Raw genomic sequence first — 24,225 nt, 5'->3', positions numbered from 1 at the left:
TTGTGATAAACACTCTTGTTCACCAGACTTTTCTATTGGGTAGATTCTTGCAAGTGAAAATGCCGATTCAAACACATATCCATGTAGTTTTGCTAGATATGGCCCAACAACTCAACAAAAACATTAATTTCCATTAGGAGTATGTGACAGTATCTTCTCCTAACTGTCTCCAACACTGGGTATTAATTATCCTTAACACTAGGTGTTAATTTTTTTTTTTTTAGACAAGGTCTCACTATGTTGCCCAGGCTGGTCTCAAACTCCTGGGCTCACATGATCCTCTCATCTCAGCCAAGTAGCTGGTATGCCTCGATGCCTGGCTAGGTGTTCATCTTTGCCAATCTGATAGGTAAAAATTAGTGTTTTATCACTTCTTCTAAAAGTTGAACATCTTTTTACGTGTTTTTGCTATCTGTATTCTTTTTTCATTTGCCTGTTCATATTTGAAGCAGAAAGTCAGGAATGTTTTTCTCCTGGGCTAACAGGAAAGAAAGAACATCTGTGCCTCATTTCCCAGCCCAATTCAGGAACATGATTGACAGATCTCTCTTTCCTTCACTAAGTGGAATATAATTTTTAAGTTAAATTATCTCTTGTTGCATAGATTAACTGCTTAATCAGGATCCATCTGCTCCTGTTGCTTAGCTATAAGCCAAACTCCCCTCTTTCATTAAAATTTGGATACCTCTTTTTTGTCCATTCATATTTATAAAATAAAATTAGCAAGTAGTGAGAGCTCTATCAGTATTTGGGCAAGTTACTCTTTCATTTCCTCAGGAAGGCCAACTGTTACCATTAAGAAAAGCAGTTGACAGATTCATTAAGTGATTTTGCTTCCAGGTTGAGATTTTATGTTTTCCTCCAAGTCTCTTGTGGCCTTTTTTCTTGTAAATAAAGGAACTGAGGTCCAAAGAGGTTAAGCCATAGGACTTTGATCTCTTACCTCTCTTACCTCTCAGTCCTGAGTTTTGCTACCAAACCATGAAACACCCGCTTCCTGGGACTGCAGCCCTGAAATGCTCCCACTACTAATTTCCTCCCTTGAGGAACTTTAGAGTTTTAGAAAGGACTAGTGATTGTTGCTTCCACGCTATATTCCTTCTCCTTCTTACAAAGACCACAGGGACCGATGCAGGGAAGGTTGTAAGGCTCTACCTCAGCCCCCTCCACCCTGCACACTAAGACCGTGTCATCATCAGAAACTTCTCCATGACCACAGTCTTTCTCTGCCACCAAAATGTCCCATACCCCAGATGGCTTACTCAGTCGTGCCCAATACAGCAGTTCGTCAACATCAATGGGTACTTTGGCCCACCTCCATTCTCCGTATTCACTCTTCCTTTATTTGCCTCCAATCCAACTCAGATTTCATGTTATATCACTCTCTTGGCCAAATCCTAAACCTCCTTAGTCTCTCTCTACTTGTACTGCATCCACCTGGCAAAAACCTAAATCTGTATGAATGCCACAGTCTACCTTCTCCATCCCTCAGACAGCTGAGTACAGCAAGAGAAAGTTCCCTAAACGAGCAGAAGGTTCCACCATAAGCTTAGTCACCAACTGCTTGCTAAATAACACCCAACAATTCTATCTTTCTCTAGCCAAACTGCCATGTGAGTCTTCAAACCTGCCCTCTCCCCAAATGTTCATTCCCAAGCAGATGGTCTGACCTGGTAAAAGCATCAGACAAAAACTCTCTCAACTGCCTCTCTCTCCCTCAGTGCACATCTGTCTTTCCACCTGTTCTCCCTTTCTTTACTTTTACAAAGGAGGAAAGGATATATTCCTAAGGTCAATCCTTCCATGTGTACTCTGGAGCCCATTCTTAGGAAACTTGGACTTTTCATTATTCCCTTTTTCCAGAGGTTCAACTCCTCTCTAATGGGAATTTCCTATCAGCATTTACTCTGTCCTCTTAGAAAAGAGAAGAGAGGGGGGAAAAGGAAAGGGAAAAGAAAAGAAAAGGGAAGAATAGAAGAAAAATCTCCTTTGCTGTCAAATCCCCTCCCACTATGCCCATCCCATATCACAGCCAAACTTCAAAACCTATCTACCCATCTGTTTACTAGAGGTCCTCTCTGCATATCCCATCTATGTGGGGGTTTGCATAGAGAACATCAATACTCAAACAAAAGAAGAGCTGCTCCCGCTGAAGTGGAGATACACTATTGCTCGGTCCCCACCTCAGCATTGCTCAGTAAACCTAAGGTTCTGTGGAACTGTTAGATACAGCTAGGTTCCTCTTCAAACAGCTTGTCCAGTTCCCCTCTTCTTTATTCTCTAGTTCCAAGTTCCACCCCCCACTCCCCGCTTTTGCTGAGCCTTAACGTGTCTAAATATGCCTAGACATGCCACAGCCCTGTTCCACATTCCTTTCCTTATGTAGAAATAGGTTAGCTTTCTAGTCGCCTGCAGGTGACCACTTCCTCCTCTCCCTCTCTCCTCTATCATGCGCCTACCTTGTCTAAGAAAGTTTAAATGTTTAGCCAATCAGGACTAGTTTAGATTGTGTGGTCCAACCCCAGCTAATGGGGGAAAGACACAGACACAGAATCTGTGTTGTTCTCCTTTGTTCTGTGTGTTCTCATGGTGGCTAGGCCTATGAGCAGCACCCTTCTGCAGAAGAAAACTGGCCTTGCTGAGAAACTTTTTGAGTGTTCATTTTCTTTGTGGCCCTGAGCTCTTACTTCCAACAGAACCTATAAAACCACTGCTCAAGGCAAGCAGAACAGCTTTGTAGACTTGTCCCTCGAACGTTATGCCATTGAGTCTTAGTTCATTTTTTTTCCTTAAACTTGAAATTCCAACAAATGAAAATTCCATAAGAAGCAGCAGCTGTTCCATGATGTATCTATTGTCAGTGTCTTGAAGAGTGATGGGTACACAGTTAAGTACTCAACAAATACACACTGATTGAATGATGCTCTTCCTCCTAAGTGCCTGTCAAAGTCAGTCTTCGGTGTCATACAAATAGGATCTTATTTTTAAAACATTCTACAATGCTGCTACATAGAATGAAATTACGTGTACTACACATGTTAAGCAGTAAGCCAGGCAGTGAAGGTACAGAACGCAAGACACAGTTCCTGCTCTTGAAAGCTCTCAGTCTGGAACTCTTATAATATGGTCCTTATGCAATTCTACTTTATATTCATTTATTTAATTCTACCACTGCATGAATACCTATCATGTGACAAACCCAGACCCTATATTACTTCTAATATCTATTTATCTTAAAACGATCACAAAGATCAGACTTAATTCCTAAATTGCATTTAAAATAATTATGGAAAAAGTATTTAAAACATTTTCTAAGGTAAATGATAGGAAGCAAAATCATGTTTCTTAACTACTTCTTTTTTTTTTTTTTTTTTTGAGACAGGGTCTCACTTTGTCACCCAGGCTGGCGTGGAGTGGCGTGATGTTGGCTCACTGCAGCTTCAACCTCCTGGGCTCAAGCAATCCTCCCATCTCAGACCCCCCAAGTAGCTGGGACTACAGGCACACGCCACCACAACCAGCTATTTTTTTTTTTTTTTGTATTTTTTATAAGACAGCATTTTGTGATGTTGCCCAGGCTGGTCTTGAACTCCTGAGCTCAAGTGATCCGCCTGCCTCAGCATCCCAAAGTGCTAGGATTATAGGCATGAGCCACTGCACCCGGCCCCCACAACTACTTCTTTTTCACCTATCAGTTATATAACTAGATTTCAATACAAACTAGCTTATGTTTAAAAAGAAAGTTCTGGCCAGGCACAGTGGCTCACCGTAATCTCAGCACTTTGGGAGGCTAAGGCAGGAGTATCACTTGAGCCCAGGAGTTTGAGACCAGCCTGGGCAACACAGCAAGACCCCATCTCTATAAAAAGTTGTAAAACTCAGCTGGGTATGGTGTGGTGGTGTGTGCTTGTAGTCCCAGCTGCTCAGGAAGCTGAGGCAGGAGGCTCACTTGAACTCAGGAGGTCACGGCTGCAGTGAGCCAGGATCATGCCACTGTACTCCAACCTGGGCAACACAGAAAGACCCTGACTCAAAACAAAACAAAAAGTTTTAAGGTTTCTCAGCTATACAAATAAATGATAATCAAATATTGCTTTAAAAAAATTTTTTTTGAGACCGAGTCTCACTCTGTTGTCCAGGCTGGCGTGCAGTGGCACAATTGCAGCTCACTGCAACCTCCACCTTGCAGGTTCAAGTGATTCTCCTGCCTCAGCCTCCCGAGTAGCTGGGACTACAGACGCGCACCACCATGCCTAGCTAATTTTTGTATTTTTGGTAGAGATGGGGTTTCATCATGTTGGCCAGCCTGGTCTCAAACTCCTAGCTTCAAGTGATCTGCCCACCTTGGCCTCCCAAAATGCTGGGATTACAGGCATGAGCCACCATGCCTGGCCTAAAAGTATTCTGAATTATGAAACATGTCTACCCTTTAGACCAGCAATCCTACTTTTTAGGCTATCCTAAATATAAACATACACATACATACAAGAATGTACATATATCTATTGGCCTAGAGGTTAGTGGAATGAGAATATCATGAAGTGAAAAAAGAGACTTCCAGAGAAATATGTATGATTTTTTGTTATTAAAAAGGAAAAATATAAATAAAAAATATATGTAATTATATAAACACAAGCAAGGAGGTGGAAGGTGGTACAGTCTGAAGCTTGTGTTTCCCCAAATTCACACACTAAAATTCTAAACCCCAAGATGATGATGGTGTTAAAAGGTGAGACCAGCCGGGCACAGTGGCTCACGCCTGTAATCCTAGCACTTTGGGAGGCCAAGGTGGGTGGATCACCCGAGGTCAGGAGTTCAAGACTAGCCTGACCAACACGGAGAAACCCCATCTCTACTAAAAATACAAAATTAGCCGGGCGTGGTGGTGCATGCCTGTAGTCCAAGCTACTCGGGAGGCTGAGGCAGGAGAATCACTTGAACCCGGGAGGCAGAGGTTGCTGTAAGCGGAGACAGAGCCATTGCACTCCAGCCTGGGCAACAAGAGTGAAACTCCATCTAAAAAAAAAAATTAAAATTAAAATTAAGATTAAAATTAAAATTAATAAAAGAGGTGGGACCTTTGGGAGGCAATTAAATTATGACAGCAGAGCCCTCATGAATGGAATTAGTGTCCTTTAAAAGAGGTCGGGGAGAGACCCTTGACCCCTTCCACCATGTGAGAATACAGCAAAAAGGCACCATCTGCGAACCCAGGAAGAGAGACCTCACCAGACACCGAATCTGCTAGTACCCTGATCTTGTACTTCCCCAACTCCAGAGCAGTTAAGAAATAAATTTGTTTATAAGCCACTGATTTTATGGTGTTTTGTTATGGCAGCATGAATGAACCAAAGCAGAAGGATACAATCCAACTATTAATGTTGGTTGCTTCACAAACTGGACAAAGAGAGGATTGCTTTCCAGATACGCCTCTATGTTGTTTGACATAAGGGCATATACCGGTTTTGTAATTGAAAAGTTTATTCTTTTAAATGTGCTAAAAGGCTTTTTCTTGTGCTTTAGTTCTAAACATGAGCATTCACCAAGTTCTGGACTTTTGTCATGCAATCGTCCTACAAATACAAGCCACTACACGGCTTTGAGCGACTGAGGGGCAAAAGGGAGAAGAGTAGAGGTTGAGTATTAGCGACAACTTCTCTTCTCAGCAACAGGCCTAACATGCTGAGGGGTAGGAGAGGAAAGGAGGAAAATGCTGAGAGAAGGCATTTAACACACACGCAAAAATGTTAACAGGAAACAAACAAACAAAAAATGTTAAGAAACACAAAAACAACATGAAAATGGAAGTGACTGACAGATTCCCAAGCTTGTTTAAAATCCATAAGTAAAAGGCCAATTAAGCAATAACATATTCGAGATACTCTATATTTTCAACGTTTTCCCCAGTTTTGGGCAGTATTGCAGTTGTAAATAAAATTCCACATACTACTCTCCTTTAGGAACTATATTTTAACATCAGCAAACATTCCAAAAGCCCTAAGAATCACTACTAGTTTTCAGCACTCTAGGAAAAGTAATGTTTTACCTGTTGTCAAAAACTGTGCTGTAAGCTGTCATATATCTGATATAATCAGGCAATGGGTGGGCTTTGGATGACAGCTACTATTCCCACCATCCCCTCATATCTGTACAGCCTTTATAGTTTACAAAGTTCTTTGATATACGTAAATCAAATATCGCAGCTAAGAGAAAACAAAGTAAAATACATACATCATTATAAACACATACAACAATTTAATCTTTGATGATTAAAAAGGTTGCAGGGAAATAAAATGTATTACCATAAGCTATTATAAAGAACAATTTACTGGACAGTAGATTCTTATTTTCATAAATAAAAAACTGAAGCTGAGAAACTACCACAAGACCAGAAGTTTAACTTTTGGTGGGGAGGAAATCTTTTTTATTTTTATACATGACAAGATTTTACATCAAGAATAGTCAGTTAAATAGTACAAATTTACATTCATGAGGTATGTTTAAAAAAAATCAACTAAAAAACCCACTTCTTCTTGTAACCCATAATCCCACATTTTACAGTGCAGGGGAGAAGGGGACTGGTGGGGGGCATCCAAAACAAGTCTCTGCCAAAAGAAATGACTTACATTTCACATTCCCTCTCCACACAGGATCCAAACGATGAGAGTATAATTTACAATTCATCTTTTTCAGCTGTAGATTCCTTTGCTGTTTCTTGTTTTTCTTCATCTGTTCCCACATCCATTTCTTTGTCTTTGTCTTGCTCTTTGTCTTCTGCTGTCTCCTCAGGTTCTTCGTCGGGTTCTTCCACCTTTGCATCAGGATGTGTTCAAACTGAGGCAAGGCATTCTTTCTATTCTATCTCCATATGCTTTAGTGTCTGGTAAAAGACATCCTGACCGAATCACTGCTGCATTGCTGTTTCAAACAAAACCACAGCAAGATCCAAAACTGTTTTATCATCTTCATCTTCCTTAATTCGTCGAAGCATGTCTCTGATCAGCGGATGTCTGGGATTAATTTCAAATGTTTTCTTCCGACTCGCATGGTAATTTGTAGAGATGCCCTTGCCCGTTTGGTACGCTTGTGCTTTCATGATTCTCTCCATGTTGCCAGACCACCCGTACTGGCTGGCCACCAAAGCACACAGAGATTCTGTCAGGCACTGAGATACCATAGCCTTTTCAATCTTGTCCTTAATGGCTTTATCTTTCACCCAATTGGGCAGAGGCTCAAATTCTTTCTCAACTGCTTCATGACTCTCCTTAGTTTTCTCACTGTCATCAAACTTCACTCCTTCCTTGGCAACATTCTGGAACCTCTTCCCATCAAATTCGGGAAGGGCCTGAATGCAGTATTCAACCACAGGTTCTGTGAGGTAAATAACTTCATAGCCCCTTTTCAGAAGTCGCTAAACAAATGGAGAAGATTCAGCCTCTTTTCTGCTGGACCCAGCCATGAGGCAGATTTTGTCTTGTTTTTCCTTCATTCTTTCAACATCCTGGTGTAGGCTAGTAATGTCAGCTGGATGATGAGAAGACTGGAACCTAAGAAGTTTAGCAAGACATGTTCGATTCGAGTGGTCTTCAATTACACCAAGCTTAATGTTGGTACCAAATTCTTTCCAAAAAGTATCATTGTATTTCTCATCAGCAATCTTCTTGATCATGTCCAGAGTTTTATGAACAAGTTTCTTCCTAATCACCTTAAGCAGTTTATGTTGCTGAAGAGTCTCACAGGAAACATTCAAAGACAGACCACCTGAGTCCACCACACCCTTGACAAAATTCAGGTTCTTAGGCATCGTATCACGGAAGTCATCTGTGATGAATACACAGCGCACATAGAGCTTAATGTAATCGCTCTTTTTAGATCCATATTCATCAAATAGGCCACGTGGAACAAATGTGGGTACAAATAAAATTGATTTGAAGGTAACTTCTCCTTCAGCAGTAAAGTGAATACAAGCCACAGGGTCATCACTTTCCTTTGAAAATGATTTGCAGAAAGCTTTGTATTCATCTTCTACTTCTTGGATGGTCTCTGCCATATTGGTTTGATATCATTCATAAGTTCCCATTCACAGACAGTTTTTTCAACTTTTTTAGTCTTTGGTTTCTGTTTTTCTTCTTCTTCCTCTACTGCAGCTTCATCATAAGATTCTTCTTTCTCTTCTTTTGCTGCTGCTTCTTCCTTCATGGCTCCTTAACAGTTTCAGTCTTGCTGCTCCATACATAAATAGGAAAGTTTATGAACTGTGAATATTTTTGATGAGATTTTTAATTGTATCCAATGCAAGGTAATCAAATGCTTTTTCTTTTAAGACAAGGGTAATGGTCGTTCCCCGTCCTAGAGTGTTTCCTCTTGGGTCAGCAATTACAGAATATTCATTGGATTCAGACTCCCAGATGTACTGGGTATCGTTGTTGTGTTTTGAAGTGACAATAACCTTATCTGCTACAAGGAAGATGGAATAGAAACTGACACCAAACTGGCCAATCAATTCAGAAGTTGACTGGCCATCTTCCTGTGCTTCAGTCATTTTGTTTAAAAACTCGTTTGTTCAAGATTTGGCTATGGTACCAAGGTTTTTAACCAACTCTTCTCTGGTCATTCCTACACCAGTGTCTGTGACATGCAGTAGGTTCTTCACCTTATCACACTTAATTTTGACTGTTAGTTCCTCATTTCCAGAAAGAGCATTTTCATTAGTCAGTGATATCAGCCTTATCTTAACTAAAGCGTCAGAATCAGTTCTCTAAGGAAAATCTCTTTATTTTCATACAATGAATTGATGATAAGTTTCATCATTCTGTTAACTTCAGCTTGGAAGGCAAACTTTTCCAACTTCTCTCTAAGTTCTCTTATTTGTGATGCATTTAATTTATCCAACTGAATAGCTTCTTCCTCTCTCTGTACTACTTCATCATCCATCCTTGAGCCTTGTCTACTTTTACCCAGATCCTCTTCTACTGTACCTTCCACATCAACTTCATCAACAGCTCTGACCGACCCGAAGGTCAGCAGGACGCAGCAGAGGCCCCAGCACCCACAGGGCCTTCACAGCTTGTGGCTGGTGAGTCTCAAGTCCCTTTCGATCGCAAGAGCCACCTCCACCCTCTCACCCCCGGGTTGGATCCTCACACCTCCAGCCGCGTGGTCCGCCCACAAATTTAACTTTTATAAGCAAAGGTCAATTCTCTGAACAAAGTCTACCCCATTGGGCTATGGCAGATAGTTAATAAGTAATCCAATCACAAATTTTTCTTTATACATAAAGAACAAACATGGGAAAATCTAGGCTATAATCCTTGTCAAAATATTTCTTATACCACTTCTCGTTAAAGGGTTAAAAAGTACTAATATGGTTTCATAGCACGGGATGATGACTTTGCAAAAAAGGATTCCTATAACTGCAAATAGATTTTCCAAGTTGGAAAACTGAAAAATCTAATTTCAGAAATATAAGTAGGCATTCAACATATATGCCAATATGCCAATCACAAAAGAACAAGACATACGTATCTATTTACTTCCAGACAGAGCAAAGATAAACTAATTTTATAATGCTTTCTACCCACTATAGGCATTGTACATAGATTAAATAAAACTTTTCCAGGAAAACATGCCATATACTTGAAGCCAATAAGATACAATTTCCAGATATTTAGCAAAGTCCAGTATAGGGAAGGGAATGAAGAATGGGTAAATTCACAAAGTAGTAAGATTTCATAAATCATCTAAAATGAGTAAGCACTAGAATTCAAGTACAAGATTCAAATAAGGTTAAGTGATAACCAGAAAAGGCCATACAAAGTAAATCCATTTAATACAGAGACCAAATTTTACAATAAATAATAGGAATAAAAAGCTTGATTTGGACATTCTCTTGAAAAACTTTTAGTTTATCTTATATGTAATACAATTCAGATTATAATGAAAACTACGTGCTTATTCTTAGAACATAAAAAGAGCAAATTAAATGTTGCCTTTGTGGCAAAATTTTTTCCAAAAAATTGTATGCTAGCCCAATTCAAAATCATTTGAGTTTCACAGGGCAATCATAAAGGTTTTGCTTTCAAAACACTGAAAAGTTACATTAAGCTTCCCAAGTGCATCTCTTAATGCTTTAATTTTCAAATCATTCTCCCTTTAATGCCTGTACCTCAAAAGCATTTTTGGTCTTTCTCGTTTACTTTTTAACTGGTCTGGTGAATGCTGTAATATTCAAGAATCACCTGAGAAGCTTAACACACAAACAAATTACAAGTCAGGACAGAAGCACATGCTAAACGAAGATGGGTTTCTGAATGGGTACTAACTTTATAAGTCATACATCAGTGAGTATTTTGCTTTCCTACACAACTTCTCCGGCAACCTCATAACTGCACGAACTTGGATAACAAATTCATAGCCAATGAGAAACCCCTGTGTGTGTATTTATATTAACTGTATATATAACAACAGGGGATATAAGTCTTGGTCTGAATACCTTAGGGTATGTAAATGTATCTTGATCAGGACCACATGTATAAATAATTTTTCAGTAGTGTAATATAATACTGTACCAAGGATGTCAGGGAGTTCCTTTTCATATAGAGTCTCTCCAAGTACTGCAGTCCCTCATCTTTCAGTAACTCCAATGGAAAATGGTGCAGATTCCTATAATTTAAGAACAAATTCTTGTGCTTTTCTAGCCTTGCCACAGAGATCGTCTTACAAAGTTCGGACGCCATGACTGAATATATCCCATCAGGCACGCTGCAGCACTATATCTTGTCAAAATTGGTCCATTTCTATAAAGAGAACGAGAAAATTTATTCATTGTAAGATTTTTTACAAGAATTGCCATATAAACCAGTTAGCACACAGAGCCACTTGAAGACACTGAAAAAAATAATTAATACATTCAATCCTACATTTTACTTTCAAAACTAAAACTGTCACACATATTTAGGAGGAGATTAAAATGAATAACAATTTAATAAAAATACTCTGATTAAGCAATATTTATTACTTATTAGAAATAGTCCTAATGGAAAAAAATAGTTTTTGCACTTGAGATAGGAAACCTTGTGTAAGAAAAACAGTGACCAGTTTCATAACATACAACCAAAGGAGAAGCTTAAAAATCAAATGCAGCAAACCCCATTTCTTTTATGAACTACCTCATTTTGTATTTAGCTTAAGGTACTTCAAAAATATTAAAATATATATTATTTATATCTAGAGCACTAATAGCTTCATTTTCTTCACTTCCTAATATATAAATATTGTCCTATATTCTGATTTTTTTCTTTATCTCTTTATTCTTTTCTTTCTTCTTATTTTTTTTTAGAGACAGGGTCTCACTCTGTTGCCCAGGCTGGGGCGCAGTGACTCAATCATAGCTCACTGTAGCCTCAACTCCTGGGCTCAAGTGATCCTCCCACCTCAGCCTCCCAAGTAGCTGGTACTATAGAGAGCACCACCACACTCAGCTAATTGTTTTACTTGTTCGTAGAGATGGGGGTCTCACTGTGTTGCCCAGGCTAGTCTCAAATTCCTGAGCTCAAGCAATCCTCCCACCTCAGCCTCCCCAAGTGCTGGGATTACAGTCATGAGCCACGATGCCTCGCCTCTTTGTTTTTAGCTTTATGGATTATCAGAGGCATCAAAGAAATAGATCCAGGGCCACACAGTCTCATTAGTTTAAATTATTTCAATGAAAGAAGAAACACTGCACTCAGAAACAAGAATCCTGTATTATTCTATAATATTACAATGTCTCTGGGTCTCCAGTTGCCTAATATGCAGAATGGAGATAGCAATTAATGTACTGGTTTAAAGGCCTGAGTCCAGGGCAGATTATTATAAATTCTCTTCTAGCTCCAAAATTGACAAGGGCAAGAAGACAAGTAACATTTGCCGTTTTATCCACTAGGCACAGAGCTAAAACAAACTTCACCATCAGTTAACACAAAAAGAAACAAACTCAAGGCTTCAGTAATTTGTCCAAGGTTAGACCGTTCACAAGGGATAAAAGCAAGGGTTTGATACCAGGTCCAGTGGATTTCAAAGCTTGGGTTCTTCACAGACACTGACTCACAAGATTCCACAGGATACTAAGGAAATGCTGAAACAACTACAAAGAAGTTGAGCTCTGCTTAAAGATTTGACTGTTTTCCTCAGCTCTTTTTCCCAACTCTCTATTGGAAAGTACCTTTCAATAATTTTTTTTCTTAAGGAAAGTGATTTTCACTGGGAATTAATACCAAATTAGTACAAAAGGCAGCAACATAAGCTTTCAATAAACATGAGTTTTGTAATTTTCTGGCTATATTTTATTATTTTCAAATTCTAATTCCTGGCTAATGAGCTAGCACTTGCCATTTTATATAAAAAGGCAAAGTATGAAATACTATTTCCAAAGCAACGTAAGGATCCAATACTTTCCCACATTTATTCCACCTACTCACCTATTTTATGAGATATATTAATGTGACTTTGTGCAAGATAATTTTTCCACATCTTAATTATCCTACCTGTAAAGCAAAGGGAAGTAGACTACAAATAACATCAATGATTCTGTGTAGAAAGTGAAACTTCATAGGTAATTATTCACTGAACTAGGAAACTGTTAGCAGTTTAGATGTCTCACAACCATCTCAAACTTAACACATTCAAAGAGCTTTCCATTTTCATCATCAATCCGAATCTCCACAGTTTTTCCCATCTCAGTAAATGGCTCACCCCTCCATCCACCCAGTGGCTCAAGCCGGAGAAGCAGGAAGTCATGAATGATTCCATCCTTTCATATTCTGACCACCTCCAATCTATCACAAGGCTAGTGGCCTCTATCTCCCAAATACATCTCAAATCCATCCAAATCTCTCCATCTGCCAAAACCACAAGCCACAGTCATCTCCTGCCTGGCCAACAGTATTACCAGTCTCCCTGTGTCCACTCTAGTCACTTCCAACACATTAATCCCAGCAATGGGCCTTTAAAAATGTACATCCAATTACATCTCACTCTTTTCGGTACACATCTTACTAAATAAACCCTTCAGAAACTTCTTACTTAGAAAATCAACTCATACTAGGCCTTGAGGGTGCCTCACCATCTGCCCCCACCCACTTCTCCAGCAACTCTGCTTGGCTTCTCACCAAGCTTCTGGGCTTTTCCAATCCTCAAAGCTACTAAACCCCTAACAGCACTTGCTGGTCTCCTCTTAGCCTAGAAAGCAATGTCCCATCATTCTCCAGATTTCAACATAAAAATTACTTCCTGAGACCGGGCGCAGTGGCTCACGCCTGTAATCCTAGCACTTTGGGAGGCCGAGGAGGGTGGATCACCTGAGGTGAGGAGTTCGAGACCAGCCTGGCCAACTTGGCGAAACCCCATCTCTACTAAAAATACAAAAATTAGCTGGGTTTGGTGGCGGGCGCCTGTAATCCCAGCTACTCGGGAGACTGAGGCAGGAGAATCTCTTGAAACCGGGAGGCGGAGCTTGCAGTAAACCGAGATCGCACCACTGCACTCCAACCTGAGCGACAGAGCGAGACTCAGTCTTAAAAAAAAAAAAATCACTTCCCTATCCCAAAGTAATTCCCCTGGTGTTCTTTCAGAGGAACTTGGCTGTTTGTTTTTTCTTCGTAGGACTCCTCACAATTTGTCACTTAAATATTTATCGTTGCATCTGTCTATTGTCAATAAAGCCAAAAAGCCTGTAAATAAACCCTTCCGAAACTTATTTAGAAATCCTGAGGGCAGGGACTGCGTTGTTTTCTTCACGCTTGCATACCTGCATCTAGCACAGTAACTAAAAGTAACCCTTCCTAAAACCTAGGTGATGGGTTGACAGGTGCAGCAAATCACCATGGCACACGTTTACCTATGTAACAAACCGGCATATTCTGCACATGTATCCAGGGACTTAAAATTTTAAAGTAGGCCTTCTAATATCTGATGACATGTGGAAGAACATTGCAAGGTTGATTTTTCATCCAACTATGTCAAGACCACGGATAGAGCCTATAAGCTTGCTACATGCCACAAGGATGTCTAATCTTTACAACCATGCACTGCAATAGACATTATGTAGCCCGTTTTGTAGAGGAGGAAACTGAGTTTCTCAGAGGGTAACATGCCATAGTTCCATCGCAGGTGGACTGACTACAAAGCGTGTGCACCGCCGCCCTATAATGCAAAACCACACTCACTGAAGGAAGATTCAATAAGACAGTCCCTGTAACCTGACGGCTTTCCTTCTGAATGTTCTGGCTGGGATTGGCTGCCTCAAAAACACCATTACACTCTGTTAAAATTGCTACAAAGGCTGTTTGGGAGATAAAATCTAAACAAATGAAATCCTAAAACTGCCAATAATAGCAATAAAGCATCAACAATGCTCACAGTTTTGCAGTATGCATTCACGGGCCATACACAGCCTTTAACAAGGTAATTTTCTTACCCCATTTCACTTGACTACATCTTACCTAGTTAAGCAAACTACCTCTTGTATAGTTATACTACCTCTTATGTAGTTAAGGCAAATAGTATTACTTAATATCAGCTGTATACAGCTGCACTTACACACGAGCTTTCTGACAGGTGAACACCAATCTATCTTATTATTAAAAACAAAACAAAAAAATCAAAAACCTCTCAACAAAATTCCACACATATTAAGGAGTATTTTGAAAGGAAGGAGTCCCTTATACTGACCTCCCCGTACTCAATTTAGTAGAATACGCATTCCAATTTCCTAACGCTGGAGATTAGAGAACTATAAGCTACATATTAAAAGCATTTGTAAAAGGCTATTTTCTCAGCTGTGGTAACAAACACTGGCAGAGTCTTAGGCAAAACACACGCCGTTTCGCCCGAGTTAGCCAGCCACTGAGATCGTTACAGTTGGGAAGCAGCGAGCCCAGCAGCAGGGATTTCACGGACCCGGTATCAGGGTTCTCGGGTCCCAGGGGCCGCGGGCCGCAGAGTGGGAGGAGGACCCGGCAGCTGTGGCCACCCGAGGCCCGGACGGCTCCGCTGTCCCACTCGCCGCGACCCGGACGCTTTGGCAGGACCACGTCTGGGGCGTCCCCGCCGGGGGGCCGGGTCAGAGAGCCTCGCCACTTGAATCACCCGACGAGGCGGACAGCTCTACTCACCTCAGCGCCAGCAGAGCCAGCGCTCCGGAGCGCAAGCGGCGCTGGAAGCCAAGCGGGGGACGGCGGGCGGGGCGGGGCAGGGAGCCAGGCGAGGGCGGGGCGGAGCGCCGGGCGTCGGGGGCGGGGCTCCGGGGGTGGAGCGGAACCCGCGCCAGAGGGAGCTGGGGAAGAGGGAGCGGGAGAGGAGCACGGAACCTCGCGATAATCCCCTGTGTTCTCGCGCTTTCACGATAGGCGCGGGAAAATGCTCGTTTGCCAAGCGATCTGTGTATTGGCCGAGAGCGCTACTTCCTCTATGCTGGCCCCGCCCGCGGCTCTACTCTTGCTTCCGGCTCCGGCGTGGGGTTTGATGTCGACGGAGTGGCTTTTGCTTAGCGTCTTGAAGGGGTAATTTAGTCGGCTCCAACTTCGGGAACCGCCAGTTACTGACCTGTTCCTTCATTCATACATTCATTCAGTCACTCGGCTTCTCATTCAGAGCACACGTTGAGGGATTACAACAATGATCCCACGTTGAGCGTTCGTTCTAAGAGCTGTTTATAGATTATCTCGTTGAACCCTTGACAGCAATCCCATGACACAGGGACTAACAGCGCCAGTCTGACCGTTGAAAAACAGGCCAGTGGGTTTATGTAACGAAGCCAACGTTATTTAGCAAGTAGTGAGTCTAAGCACCGGATTTAAGGGGTCACTACGAACTGGTAGATAACAAAGATGAGGAGGACGTAACCTAGTCTCTGCCCTTCAAACACCCAAGGTTTATTTTGAGTAAAGATTGCTAAAAAGGTCAGGAACAATTTAGAGAGTTAAATACAATGACACTTCCTAGCCTGACTGAGTAGGCCGTCAATATGTATTTCTTCAAGACGAAAATTATTATGTCAGCGAAATAGCATGAAAGAGGGCTTTATGCTGTTAAAAATACTTGGAAGCATAGTTCGGAAACATTTTTAAAAGACACTTTTTAAAGTGTCTCATTAATATGACAAATTTCCTTCTGAAATGAAGATTTTAAAGTATAATCCTCTACTACAACCGCTGATATTTTTTGTTCTGTGGAAAGCCTGTCTATGAGTTTGCGAGGCTCCTTGTCAAGGAACTTTAACTTTATAATGAAGTAGTTTTTACAGTTGCTGACTTAATTATTCATAGAGACGAATAACCTAGAAAGCAGAGTTATATTAAATAAAAAACATTGGTTTTAAAACAAGGTATGAGTTATAATAAAAATTATCAGTTATCTATTAAATCTGGTCTTCAAGAGCTATTCAGGTATACAGCATGGTTGGTATATGTCATGTATTTCTAAGATAGTTTCGGAATACCTAAGAATTCGTGGCACTCAGAAATTTTTTGCTGGTCTTAAAATGAGGAAATCCACATTTTGTGTAAAAACAAAGATACGGTGTTTAATGGTCAGCCCAAATAATAAGACTTGCTGCTAATATATGAAGAGTTACACCCCCCAAAAAAGAAAAAAGATTAACAGTAGAACAGTTTTTTGAAAACAATGTTAGCCTCTTAGTTTTCATTTCTTTTTTTTAATGGGGAATACTGTTTTTCAGTGATTAATATCTGATATTTGATCATGAAAAATGAATCATGTTAAAATAACCTTCACCTCCTCCCCACATTGACACAAAAGTTACCAAGTGATTATATTTGATAATACTTTATGACCCCACTCTTGAAGTTCTCACAATTTGTAGAGAATCAATTCGCACGTTTTGTCTCTCTTAAAGGGGAAAAAAATCCTCTAAGCTGGTGATTTCACGTTCTTTGACAAACTTCAATATCAACAGGCAACGATACCACTTTAAGAAAATTCCAAGGAAAAGACCTCATTTTAAAATTCCCACCTCTGGCTCCCAAAGATTGGTTTGCAAACTTCGACAAAATACTCTTCTCCACTCGCTATTGGTGAGTGCTCTATCATTCATTCTTTTGCCTGGAGTTTTGTGAGGTACCCGCTTGCTTTATGGGAAAAGGCTGCTCCGGAACTGCCCTACTTTAGACTTTTTCATGGTTATCAATCTGTACAAAGAATCACCAAACTGATAAAGCAGGAACCAGAGGGCAAATCACGCTGCCAAGACAACTGTGTAATTCGCTCGAAAAAGAAACGGTGAGCCTCTCCAGCAGACTGGGTAAACTGGCAAGGGATTTTACGACATAGTTGGAGATTGGAGAGTTACAGAAACTTTTCCGGTTTTTTACAAGTTTTAAAGGAGTGATTGAGTGTCAAAGGAAAAGCAGAGAAAATACAGGCACAATTTAAAGACAGCAGGAAGAAGAGTGTTCAGAGAGCATTTTTCTCTTTAGGGTGAAGTTTGAAAGCATCATGCCCAGATTATCAGTGGATTTTTGAAAGGTAAAGGAGGCAAGATAATAAGATTAACTATAGATCATTTTCTACTTTAAGAAACTGTGCTTCGTTATTGTTGCTTAAGTGTGGATTTAGAAGGACATTTAGTAATATTGTAATTTTTATATGGATATTTTTGTTTATATATTGTCATACCTGGCATAATAGATAATATATCTATTAAAAGATATAGGAGAAAATAGAGTTGCTTGAACCCAAATTTTGTGTATATTTGTGGATTAGGGATTCCAGGGACAGATCTGCTAATGGCTGAACAAAACATACTACAGATACCTGAAGCAGAATCAGCATGTAAGGGTAAATTCTCAAAAAAATCCAGCAATCATATTTCAAAAATGACATTTTTAATTAAAACAAATACAAAAGAATTTATCAAGGAAACGTTGATGAACATGACTATTTCTTAAGTTGCCTGTGTTAATCCATATAGGGGAATATAAAGTAATAAAATCCAGCCCCTCAAGAGCAGGGACAAATGAGGCTCAGAACATTTAAACTAAAACTTCTGAACAGTTCTTAATGCCCGGATGACTGTTGTAGAGCACAGGTGCTTCAGGAGCTCAGCTCAATGTGAGATGAATTATTCAGAGAAGGCTTCACAGTATGGGTAAGACTCAATTTGGGCCTGAGCAATGGGCAGAATTTCAGAGAGAAAAATAAGGGAAGTGGCATCCCTACTAGTGAGTGAGTTGTTAGCAAATACATGCAGCCTGAGGAAGAGTTGGTTCTGACTGCGGCAGAAGGTTCATTTGGAAACTTTGGTTACAAATTTTAAAAAGCAGCATGAGAAATATAAAGAGCCGGAATTCCCAAAATCAGGGGTTTGGGTCCTGTGTTTGGAACAGGAGGCACCCCTTATGAAAGTAATATTTGAAGACAATAAAACTGACAGTGGAATTTAAGATGGCTAGACCAGAGCAGAGACCAGAAGCTAAGGGGCCCCATGCTGTGTAAATACTGGCACACAGGTTAGTAACCATGCTTCTTACCCGAATACATTTACCTTATCATTGTTGAATAATATAAATTTTGATGCACTTCTTTGTAGTCTTCGAAAGCATTGAGTTTACTTCTTTAAGATTTTTGGGGACCGCTGCCACACTGTCTTGGGGAGTCATGGTTGCCCCGTCTTTATAAAAGTCTTGTCATAATATGTATAAAAACCAGAATTACACATAAAACTGCGTTGTGGTTTCATAGCTATTTTTAACAGCTTTAATGAAGTATAATTTATATATTATAAAGTTCATTTGTCTTAAGGATATAACTCAATGATTGTTTTAGAAAATCACAACCATCACCACATTCCAATTTTAGAAAATTTTCATCATCCTAGAAAATTTAGAAAATTTTCATCATCCTAGAAAATTTAGAAAATTTTCATCATCCTAGAAAATTTAGAAAATTTTCATCATCCTAAAAAAATACTTTGTGCCCATTTGCAGGCAAGTCCTGGTTTCCTATCCCCAGCCCCAATCACTAAAAAACTTTCTGTCTATAAATTTACCTTTTCTGGGCATGTAAGTGGAATTACACATTATGCGATCCTTTGCATCTAGTTTCTTTTACTTAGCATAATGTTTTTGAGGTTCATCCATGTTGTAGTATGTCTCATTACTTCATTCCTTTTTATTGCTAAGTAATAATCCACATTTTATTTAACAGTACCAATTAACAGACATTTGGATTTCTTCTAGTATTTAAATATAGTGTTTAATTGTACTAATTGTAATTGTATTACAGTAAATACAGTACAGTATTTAGCATTATGAATAATGCTGCTATGAAGATGGGTACAAGTTTTTGTATGAACGTGTGTTTTCAGTTTTCTTGGGTGTATATCTACGAGTGGAATTACTGTCATATGGTAACTCTGGGTGTAACTTTTCAAGGTGTTGCACAACTGCTTTCCAAGGTGAATTTCCCATTTTACATTTCCACCAGAGTGTATGAGGGTTCCAATTTGTCCACATCCTCACCAACACTCCTTATGATCTGTCTTATTCATTGTAGTCATTCAGCTGGATTTTAAGTGGTATCTTATTACAGCTTTCATTTGCATTTTCCTGATGACTGACGATATGAAGCATCTTTTCATGTGCTTGTTGACTATCCATATATCTTCTTTTGTAAAATGTCTTTCAAATATTTTGCCTATTTTTTTAATTGAGTTGTCATCTTGTTACTGATTGTTTTTTGGTTTTTTTGGTTTTTGTTTGTTTGTTTGTTTGTTTGAGACTGGGTCTCGCTTTGTCGCTCAGGCTGGAGTGCAGAGTGCCACGATCTCGGCCCACTGCAATGTCCACCTTCCGGGTTCAAGCAATTCTTCTGCCTCAGCCTCCCGAGTAGCTAGGATTACAGGTGCCCACGACCACGCCCAGCTAATTTTTTGTATTTTTAGTAGAGACGGGGCTTCACCATGTTGGCCAGGCAGGTCTCGAACTCCTGAACTCGTGATCCACCTGCCTTGGCCTCCCAAAGTGCTGGGATTACAGGCATGAGCCATCGCGCCAGCCCATGTTAATAAATTTTTTTTTTTTTGACACGGAGTGTCACTCTGTCACCCGGGCTGGAGTACAGTGGCTCGATCTCAGCTCACTGCAACCTCTGCCTCCTAGGTTCAAGCGATTCTCCTGCCTCAGCCTCCTGAGTAGCTGGGATTACAGGTGCCCACTACTATGCCCAGCTAATTTTTTGTATTTTTAGTAGAGACAGGGTTTCACCATGTTGGCCAGGCTGGTCTTGAACTCTTGACCTCGTGATTTGCCCACCTCGGCCTCCCAAAGTGCTGGGATTACAGGCGTGAGCCACCACGCCCAGCCCCATGTTACTGATTTTTAATTGTTCTTTATATATTGTGGTTAAAGTCCTTTATCAGATTAATGATTTACAAATATTGTCTCCCATTCTGTGGGTTGTCTTTTAACTTTAATAATAGTGTCTTTTGAAGCAGTAAAGATTTGGATTTGATGAAATCTAATTTATCTTTTTTTTTCTTTTATCACTTATGCTTTTGGTGTTATATCTCAGAAGTCTTTGCCTAACAGGCTGGGCCCTGTGACTCACACCTGTAATCCCAGTATTTTGGGAGGCCAAGTCGGGTGGATCACCTCAGGTCAGGAGCTCGAGAACAGCCTGGCCAACAGGGTGAAACCCCGTCTCTACTAAAATTAGCTGGGCGTGGTGGTAGGCACCTGTAATCCCAGCTGCTTGGGAGGCTGAGTCAGGGAGGCTGAGTCAGGAGAATGTCTTGAACCTGGGAGGTGGAGGTTGCAGTGAGCCGAGATCACGCCACTGCACTCCAGCGAGAGTCTGTCTCAAAAAAAAAAAAAAAAGTTCATGAAGATTTACTCCTATATTTGCAAAGAGTTTTATAGTTTTACCTCTTACTGTTAAGTCTTTACTCCATTTGGAGTTAATTTTTGTATATGGTGTGAGGTGTAGAGATCCAACTTTATTCTTTTCATGTATCTATCCAGTTGTACCAGCACTGTTTATTGTTTATTGAAAAGACTGTTCTCTTCCCATTGAATTATCTTGGCATGCTTGTTAAAAAAAATAATTCACATATATAAGAGTTTATTTTTGGACTCTCAACACTATCCCATTTTTCTATATATTAATTCTTTTTTTTTTTTTTTTGAGATGGAGTCTCGCTCTGTCACCCAGGCTGGAGTATAGTGGTGTGATCTTGGCTCACTGCAACCTCTGCCTCCCAGGTTCAAGCGATTCTCCTGCCTCAGCCTCTCGAGTAGCTGGAATTACAGGTACTTATCACCAAATCTGGCTAAATTTTTTGTATTTCTAGTAGAGACAGCGTTTTGCCATGTTGGCCAGTCTGGTCTCGAACTCCCGACCTCAAGTGATCCGCCCACCTCGGCCTCCCAAAGTGCTGGGATTACAGGCATGAGCCACCACGCCCGGCCTCTATATGTCATTTCTTATGCCAGTACCACCACGTTGTTTTGGGGAGGGCTTTTCCCCAGCTTTATTGAAATATGATTGACAAACTAAAAATTATATACATTTGAGGTAAACATCATGGTGTTTTGATATAAGTGTACCTTTTGTAATGATTCCCACAATAGAGCTAGCTCACACATTCATCACTTGACATAATTACCATTTTTGTGTGTGTGATGAGAACATCTGAGATCTTAACAAATTTCAATTATTTTCTATAGTTACCATGCTGTATATCTCTAGAACTTATTTACCTCATAACTGAAAATTTTTAAGTACAACACTTTTGATTACTTTTACTTTAGTTTTATAGTACATTTTAAAAATGGGAAGTGTGAGTCCTCCAACTTCTTTTTTAAGATTGTTTTATTTATTCTTAGTCTCGTATTTCCATCTTAATTCATCCATAATAAGGATCAACTTGTTAATTTCTGCAAAAAAACAGCTGAGTTTTGATGGATATTACATTAAATCGATACATCAATTTGAGGAGTATTCTATCTTAATATTGAGGCTTTTAATCTATGAACATGGAATGTCCATGTATTTAGATCTTTAATTTCTTTCGATAATGTATGATTTTCATTGTACAAGTCTTGTATTTCTTTTGTTAAATTTATTCCTACATATTTATTCTCTTTATCCTATTTTGAATCAGTGTTTTCTTAATTTTATTTTCAGATTATTTATTGCTGACATATAAAAATACAATTTTATTTATTTATTATGTATCCTATGGCCTTGCCGAACTTATTTAGTCGTTCTAATTGGGGGGGGCGATTTATTTGTTTATTTATTGTGGAATCCTTAGGATTTTCTACATAGAGGGTTATGTCAGCTGATAATAATGTTTTATTTCTCCCTTTCTAATCTTCATGCCTTAATTTATTGTTCTTGCCTGTTGCTCTGACTGTAATATCCACAACTTTGACTACAGGTGGTGAGAGAAATCATTCTTGCCTTGTTTCCAATCTTGGAAAACATTCAAACATGCTCCATTAAGTATGATATTAGCTTTAGGTTTTTGTAAATCAGGATTTTTTGGTTTTGTTTTTTAATTTTTAATTTTTGTGAGTACATAGTAGTAGGTGTATATATTTATGAGATACATGTGATGCTTTGACACAGGCATACAATGTATAGTAATCACATCAGAGTAAGTGGGTATCTGTGTCCTCAAGCACTTATCATTTCTTTGTGTTAGAATTATTCCAATTCTACTCTTTTAGTTATTTTAAAATATACAATAACTTATTGTTGACTGTAGTCACCCTGTTGTGATATCAAGTACTAGATCTTATTCATTCTATCTAACTACGTTTTGTACCCATTAACTATCCCCACTTTTCCCTCCCTGCCCAATACCCTTCCCAGCTTCTGGTAATCATCATTCTACTCTCTGTGTTCATGAGTTCAGTTGTTTTAATTTTTAGCTCTCATAAATGAGTGAGAACATACAAAATTTGTCTCTCTCTGCCTGGTTAATTTCTCTTAGTATAATATCCTTCAGTTTCATCCATGTTGCTGTAAATGACAGGATTTCGTTCTGTTTTGTGTGTATATCTACCACATTTTTTTATCCATTCATGTGTTGATGAACATTTAGGCTGATTCCAAATCTTGGCTGTTGTGGATAGAGCTGCAGTACACATGGGAGTGCAGATATCTCTGATATACTTTTCTTTTGGATATATATGGAGCAGTGGGACTGCTGGATCATATGGTAGTTCTTCTATTTTTAGCTTTTTGAGGAACTTCCATACTGTTCTCCACAGTGGCTGTAATAACTTGCATTCCCACCAACAGTGTATGAGTGTCCCCCTTTGTCCACATCCTCACCAGCATCTGTTACTGCCTTTTTAATAAAAGCCATCTTAACTGGGGTGAGATGACCTCATTGTAGTTTGATTTGCCTTTCTGTGCTGATCAGTGATGTTGAGTATTTTTTCATATACTTGTTGGTTATTTGCATGTCTTTTGAGAAATGTCTATTCAGATCTTTTGCTCACTTTTTAATCAGATTATTAGATTTTTTTTCCTATTGGGTTTTGTTTAAGCTCCTTATATATTCTGGTTATTAATCCCTTGTCAGATGGGTAGTTTACAAATATTTTCTCCCATTCTGTGGGTTGTCTCTTCACTTTGTTGATTGTTTCCTTTGCTATACAGCAGCTTTTTTACTTGATGTGATCCCATTTGTCCATTTTTGTTTTGGTTGCCTGTACTTTTGAGATCTTTCTTAAGAATTCTTTCCCCAGACCACTGTCCCAGAGAGTTTCCCCAGTGTTTTCTCTTGGTAATTTTATAGTTTCAGGTCTTATATTTAAGTCTTTAATCCACTTTGATTTGTAAAATCAGGCTTTTATCAGCCTTTTATCAGGTTGGGGAAGTTTTTTTAATCATGATTGGATAATGGATTTTGCCAAATGTGTTTTCTGCATCTATCAAGATGATCAGATGGTTTGTGACCACATTCTACTGTATAGTGTATTATATTAATGAGTTCAGATGTTAAACCAACCTTCCATTTCTAGGATAAACTCCCCTTGATCATAATGTATTATCCTTTGTATATGTTGCTAGATTTGGTTTGCCAATATTTTGTTGAGGATTTTTGTGTCCATATTCATGAAGGGTATTCATTTGTTATTTTCTTGTGATGTCTTTGTCTGGCTTTGGTATCAGGGTAATACTGACCTCATAGAACAAGTGAGAGTTTCCTTC

General features: G+C 39.5%; 2 protein-coding genes and 1 pseudogene across 44 annotated transcripts in view, besides 2 other annotated features; 1 reads left to right on the top strand and 2 right to left on the bottom strand.

Moving 5' to 3' along the window:
• Positions 1 to 15,213, bottom strand: part of LRRC28 (leucine rich repeat containing 28) — a 139,249-nt gene extending 124,036 nt beyond the window's left edge. For 14 of the 23 annotated variants that reach the window (NR_135757.2, NR_135753.2, NR_135758.2 and 11 more), the window contains exons 1-2: positions 15,153 to 15,213; positions 10,569 to 10,796 (exon numbers count right to left, since the gene is read on the bottom strand). Coding sequence is in view for 14 of the 23 variants with exons in the window: in NM_001321676.2 (NP_001308605.1) it covers positions 10,569 to 10,736 (168 nt within the window). In the remaining 9 variants the exon portion in view is untranslated. Of the gene's footprint in view, positions 1 to 10,568; positions 10,797 to 14,709 lie in introns of all 23 variants that reach the window. The other 9 variants (NR_135755.2, NR_135759.2, NM_001321675.2 and 6 more) reach the window with 3 other exon arrangements.
• HSP90B2P (heat shock protein 90 beta family member 2, pseudogene) lies at positions 6,418 to 9,169 on the bottom strand (annotated as a pseudogene). The gene has a single exon (NR_073383.1). The product of NR_073383.1 is annotated as a heat shock protein 90 beta family member 2, pseudogene (transcript).
• Positions 14,899 to 15,438: a silencer, noted in NCBI's record as "silent region_6866". NCBI's record gives its function as "represses an Ori minimal core promoter by ATAC-STARR-seq in GM12878 lymphoblastoid cells {active_cell/tissue: GM12878}" and the evidence as "EXISTENCE:reporter gene assay evidence [ECO:0000049][PMID:35858748]".
• Positions 15,469 to 24,225, top strand: part of TTC23 (tetratricopeptide repeat domain 23) — a 114,903-nt gene continuing 106,146 nt past the window's right edge. For 9 of the 20 annotated variants that reach the window (XR_007064487.1, XM_047432956.1, XM_047432955.1 and 6 more), the window contains exons 1-2: positions 17,113 to 17,523; positions 18,384 to 18,506. Coding sequence is in view for 9 of the 20 variants with exons in the window: in XM_047432956.1 (XP_047288912.1) it covers positions 18,482 to 18,506 (25 nt within the window). In the remaining 11 variants the exon portion in view is untranslated. Of the gene's footprint in view, positions 15,540 to 16,894; positions 17,073 to 17,112; positions 17,524 to 18,383; positions 18,507 to 21,183; positions 21,306 to 24,225 lie in introns of those variants that run through there. The other 11 variants (NR_109947.3, XM_017022518.2, XM_011521939.2 and 8 more) reach the window with 5 other exon arrangements.
• Positions 15,689 to 15,738: an enhancer, noted in NCBI's record as "active region_10150". NCBI's record gives its function as "activates an Ori minimal core promoter by ATAC-STARR-seq in GM12878 lymphoblastoid cells {active_cell/tissue: GM12878}" and the evidence as "EXISTENCE:reporter gene assay evidence [ECO:0000049][PMID:35858748]".

This window comes from Homo sapiens, chromosome 15 (assembly GCF_000001405.40).
Source record: "Homo sapiens chromosome 15, GRCh38.p14 Primary Assembly".
In the NCBI taxonomy this organism is placed as follows: Eukaryota; Metazoa; Chordata; class Mammalia; order Primates; family Hominidae; genus Homo; species Homo sapiens.
This window is presented reverse-complemented; position numbering and strand designations above follow the sequence as displayed.